This window comes from Homo sapiens, chromosome 1 (assembly GCF_000001405.40).
Source record: "Homo sapiens chromosome 1, GRCh38.p14 Primary Assembly".
NCBI lineage: Eukaryota > Metazoa > Chordata > Mammalia > Primates > Hominidae > Homo > Homo sapiens.
In genome coordinates this window covers 13,884,420-13,890,602 of record NC_000001.11, presented here as the reverse complement: position 1 = coordinate 13,890,602, position 6,183 = coordinate 13,884,420, and positions in this window count along the sequence as shown.

Sequence of the window (6,183 nt, the reverse complement as noted above, 5' to 3'; positions counted from 1 at the left end):
TTCCTTGACTTGAAATACTTAATTTTAGGGTAATCTGGTCAGTTGCTCTTTTGACTTATAGTCTGATTTGGGGGTCTTGCTTAAAACATCCTTCCCTCTTGATTGCAAAGTTAGCCTTTTTATAGTTTTACCTTTCATACTCGGGTCTATCTGGAGCTTATTTTTATATCTCGTATTCGGTAGGGTTCACCTTTTTCCCCTCAAGATTGTAAAACAGTTTTCCCAAAACCATCTTTTCCTTATGCAATGGGCTGAATGTTTATGTTCCTCCAAAACTGATATGTAGAAATCCTAACTCTCGATATGATACAATTAGGAGACAAAGCCTTTGGGGGGGTGATACGATAATGAGGGTGGAGCCATTGTGAATGGGATTGCTGCCCTTATAAAAGGGATCCCAGGGAACTTTCTAGCTCTCTTTCCACCAAGTGAGGACATAGAGAGAAGCTGGCAGCCTGCAATCTGCAAGTGGACCCTCACCAGAACCAGGCCACGCTGGCACCCTGATCTCAGACTTCCAGCCTCTAGAACTGTGAGAAATACATTTCTGTTGGTTATCAGCCACCCAGTCTATGGCATTCCACTGTAGCAGCTCGAACTGACCAAGGCCCCCTACCTATCTTTTTCCACTGTGGCATCACTATTATTACCTATCACGCTTCCATATACATGAGTATATTCTTGAGCTCTCTATCCTATCTACTGATTCCTCAAACTATGCTATCAATATTCAAATTTTAAAGTTAGTGGCTAACATTTTAAGACGTTTGGATTTTGAATTTTTCAAGACGAGTCAGATTTGATAGTGTTGAGTCTGCATGTCTCATGCCACAATAAATTGGAGCAGCAATTACCCCCTTTATATGGAATGCTTGCCATCCTGTTACACCCAGCATGGACTGCATTCATTTACAATACAAGCCTATTCCTCACAGAGACGTGTTCAGGTACTGCAATGTCTCTGGAGAGAGAGGTCAAAAGAAAGTCACACAGGAGAAGTCATTAACTGATGTATAGGACTCTTGTTACATCTGCATTAATAAGGATCATTTATTTAATATCTATTTGATCCCTAACCCTAGGCTAACCACAGGTAGATGGGACAGTGGTGTGCATGGAAAGTGGTAGAGGGAAGGAATGAAGAGACAGTGGGAAAAGCAACACAAAATGTATCTATGTATATATGATAAACACAAAGAATGATTAAGTACACAAGTGGAAAGACACGAAAGCACATTGGGAATTACGGCCATGAAAGGTCTTGTCATTCTAATACAGGTGACAGCTGGAGCCTTCAGGGAGAACTTTATAGGAGGCAGTGTTAGACCTGGATCTAAGAAGAGAAGTAGGATTTGTTTCAGTAGAAGGAAGAGGATTGGGTTGGGGAGGGAATTTGGGCAAGTCATTCGGACAAGGCTAGCATAAATATCCTGTTATACTGAAAACATTTTAAAGTCTAGTTCGGGCTTTTTAGATAAGAAATAATATAAATTTGCTCTGGTTCAAATCAATAATTATCTCCTTATTTTTAAGATTTCTTGTAGGGGATGAGTCAGAGTGGTGGGAAAAACTATAGGGAAAAGACACAAACCTTCTGAAAAGTCGGAAGGTTCTGCAGAGCCCCGGGGGAGAATAGCTGAAGGCAGCTGTCCTATAACCCTGAGGCAGAGGGCAAGGGAGTGTGGGGGAATTTATCTTAAACAGGCTTGTTTACTTACATTGACCAGGAATTGACCTTTGATCACCCGCCCAAGACGTTCCCTGAAAGGGGAACAATAAATGTTAATTACCTACAGGTTGTGTTGGCTCCAGGTTTTCGGCATTGTGCCTGCACTGAGTAAAAGCAAGCAGCTCCAGCTTCTCGGGGCTGCTCTCTGGCCACTAAACCAGGCAGCCACCTAGCCACTGCATACCTCTGTATGAGTACTCATTTCATCCATCAGCCAGGGTCCGCAGGACAGACCCAACAATCTCCTTAGTACGTCTTCAGTTCTATAGGATTTCAATTGACTCACCCCAAAGGCCTCTCCCTTGACTGTCCTCACACTCATACTCTCACAGGAGTTAAGAGCCGCGTGCACACATCAACTCAGGCTCAGTACATCAGCTGTTATCACCTACAGTTCCCAAAAGGTGCAGAGTACCCCAGCCAGCTGTTATAGACAGAGATAAAATGAAGAGCAATTTAGGAAAACATGACACCAAGCTTAGAGCAACTTGTTTTATGATACTTTATTTCGCATACTAAATTATCAGTAAGTGGAGGCTGCTATGTGACATGAGCTGGAGGGCATCAGGAGCGCCACAAACATTCTTATTTAATGACAGATACTAATGTGCCCTCTTCCCAGATGAGGAAACCTGGGCTTAGAGAAATTCGTGTCCTTTGCCCAAGATTACCCGGCAGAAAGTTATACAGCCATTCGTAGTAATCTATAGGATGAATGGGCCTACAGGTTGGTCCTCTGCTTTGAAACTAGCTATTATCTATGTCCTTGGGAAGTTGTGCTATTAACTCATATCCCACAAATGTTTCCAGATTGATCCAAGGCTCCTAGCAAGTCACAATGAATGTCTTTATTTTTTTTTAATGCTTAAGCAGCTTTATTGGGATACAATTCACATGTCATACGGTTCACCCACTTGAAGTGTACAAGTCAGTGATCTTTAGTATATGCAAATACATGCACGACCATCACCACAGTCAATGTTAGAACGCTTTCACCACCTCAGAAAGATACCCGTACACTTTAGCTCTCACCTCTACTCCACGACACCCTCTCAACTCTAATCAACCACTAATCTACTTTCTGTATCCATTCATCTCCATATTCTGGATTTTCCTATGAATAGAATCATATGATATGTGAACCTTTTTGTCTGGCTTCTTTTAGTTAGCACGATCTCTTCAAGGTTTATTCAACTTGTAATATATACCAATATTTCATTTCTTTTAATGACTGAATAATATTTCATTGTATGACTATACCACATTTTGTTTATCCATTCATCTGTTGATAGACATTGGGCTGTTGCCACATTTTGGCTATTATGAATAATGCCATTATAACCATTTGTGTATAATTTTTGGTGTGGGCATTTATTTTTATTTATCTCGGGTATAGATCAAGGACTAGAATTGCTGGGTCATATGGTAACTATGTTTAATGCTCTGAGGAACTGCCAGAGTGTTTTCCTGTGGCTTTATTATTTTACATTCCCACCAGCTGTGTATGAGGGCTCTAACGTCCTGATGCAGAGCTAAGTCCTATTATTCCAGTAACCTTAAAAATGGCAGATGCTGAAATAGTAATTGGCTCAAAAGGAGCTTCATTAGATTTCTAAACAGACTTATTTATAAAGTTAGCCCTTTCTTTGACTAGAGAAATCACTGATTAATAGATCCAGGTCAGAAAGAGCTAACATTGTCTTTTATTCTGTCACAACAGAACCTATAGGAGTGAACATAATGTTTCTCTGGAGGAATATCATTATCATCACTCATCATCATTATCCCTAGGTCTTAAATTATTTTTATAATTTCATAAATACTGTCTAGCACTGAATTTAAAATAACAAGGTATCTACTTTTCTTCCTTCCTTCCTGAATAATTCAACTCAATGCAAAACACTGGGCAAGAGAGGTAGAAATCCTTGCCAAAGGAGTAGGTGGTGGAGCCCAATACTAAGTCAGAACCCAAGCAAGATAAAGGGGCATTTGTTAGACAAATGTGATAATCACTGCACTGCAGAAACTTACAACATCTGTGAAGTAAGGAGGGATGACAGAAATCCCTTAGGGTCAGAGCCCAAGTAAGATGAGTAAAGGCATTCACACAAGAAGCAGCAACAGCAATAGGAGATTGGTTACACAGGATGAGATTGGGCAAATAAGTAAACATACTGAGGATAATGGGAGCCAGGTCTCACTGTTAGAGACAAGGGAAAGCTAGAATGAAATCTGTGATGCTGAATAGAAATTATAAACATTGGTATAAGCTCTTGGTTTTTAATCTATATATAGTCACATAAATAAATCTAGATTTAGATGTATGTGTGTATCCATCAGAATATACATACTATATTCCCTAATTCTGTCCACTGAGAGGGCCTGGGAACAGAGATACCCCAATAGCAATGAGCTATCCTAAAAACAAGATCTATGCTCTAAATATCATTCCTCTGCTACAAGGAACCAGAGCTGATTGGTCCAGGGCTGGTGCATGAAAAACACAAAGATATCTTGACATGTTGTTTAGCCAGAAAGCAAGGAACTTCTCCAAGATGGATGGAGACATTCCAAAAACACACAGTAGCCAGCTTGAAGAAACCCTCACTGGCCAAATCAAGAATAATTTTTATATAAAAGTGATGATAATGAATTAGAACTCATTGAATAGAAATCTATATGTCCATATGGATAGATGGATGGATGGATGGATGGATGGATGGATGGATACATAAATATATCCACAAATAAATGCATAGAGAGATAGAAGAAAAAGTTCTTCTTTATAGTCAAATGCCAACCAATAGATGCACAAAATGATGGACTTGGAAAATTGCCATTTGACAGCCTCTCATAGTTATAATTCAGGCAGGAAATGTCAACGAATGCTAAATCTAGTGGGTGAAAGCTTGATGAGAAACAGTAAACTTACAGCTTCAAACTCTGTCCCCATAAAATCTTTATTAATCACAAAAAGTAAAAGGAGTGACTTTACAGTGGGCAAACCTGGAAGACACTATCTTAATCAAAGTTAGTTAACAAAGTTAACATCATTAGTCATAGGATAAATCAAAACCATGTACCACCTAAAATGATGCAATAAGAAAACTCAGCATCACTTCTGCAGTATTCCTGACAACAATCTATTACTCGCAACGAATCAGGAAAACGTTTTATAAACCCACACTGAAGAACAGCCTACAAAATAACTGTCCTATAATTTTTTAAAGTGGCGAGTTCATAAAAGTTAAGGGAAATCTGAGGAACTGTTCCAAATAGAAAGCAAGTAAAGAGGCAACCGGACTAAACGCAGCCTGTGATCCTGAATTGTTCCAATAAAACTTGAATGGAGCTTGCAAATTAGAGTAGTGATGGATCAATGTTAATTCCTTGAATTTCATAGTTGTGCTGTGGTTAGTAGGAGAATGTCCTTGATGTGTAGGAAACACACACTAAAACATTTGGGAATGATGGAGCATCATGTCTACAGCAGACTCTCAAATGACTTGTGGGAGAAATGTTTACTATACTATTCTTTCAGTTTTCCTACAGTTTAAGAAAAACAATTAGTTGGACAAAGACAACATGGTCAAAAGGCAAGAGAAACAGACAACAAAAAGAAAACCACCAGGCCAGGCACAGTGGCTCACGCTTGTAATCCCAACACCTTGGGAGGCTGAGGTGGGCGGATTGCTGGAGCTCAGGAGTTCAACACCAGCCTGGGCAATAAGGTGAGATACTGTCTCTACAAAAAATACAAAAATTAGCTGGACATGGTGGTGCACACCTGTAGTCCCAGCTACTGGGGAGGCTGAGGTGGGAGGATAGCTTGAGCCTGAGAGGCAGAGATTGTAGGGAGCCAAGATCACACCACTGCACTCCAAGCCTGGGCAACAGAGCAAGACCCTATCAAGAAAAGAAAAAGAAGAAGAAGGAAGGGAGGGAGGGAGGCAGGGAGGGAGGGAGGGAGGAAGGAAAGAAGGAAGGAAGAAAGGATGGAATGAAGGAAGGAAGGAAGGAGAAGGAAGAAAGGGAGGGAAGGCAGGAAGGAAGGACCACTAGCAATCCAGATATCAGACACAGTCCACAATAAGTTTGCTTAACATGGTTAGGGAAATGGAGCAAGGTACAGGATTTGGGGGAAAAAACTATAAAAATTTACCAAATCGATATTAGACACAGGTGGAAAGAATTAGTGAAATGGTAGATCAGTCAGAAGAAAGTCAGAGTGAAGCACAGACAACAGGATAGGAAAGATAGAGGAAAGGACGAGACATAGGGATTCAGTTAAAAGGTCTGACATGGGTTTAACTGTCATCCCAGAAAGGGAGGACAAATAAGAAAGAGAGGATGAAGAAAAGAAGTAGGAGAAAAGGAGTAGAAGCAATATCAGGAGAAACTGTTAATACCTCGGATGGTGAATTGTATGTGTCAACATGACAGGGTTAAGACTA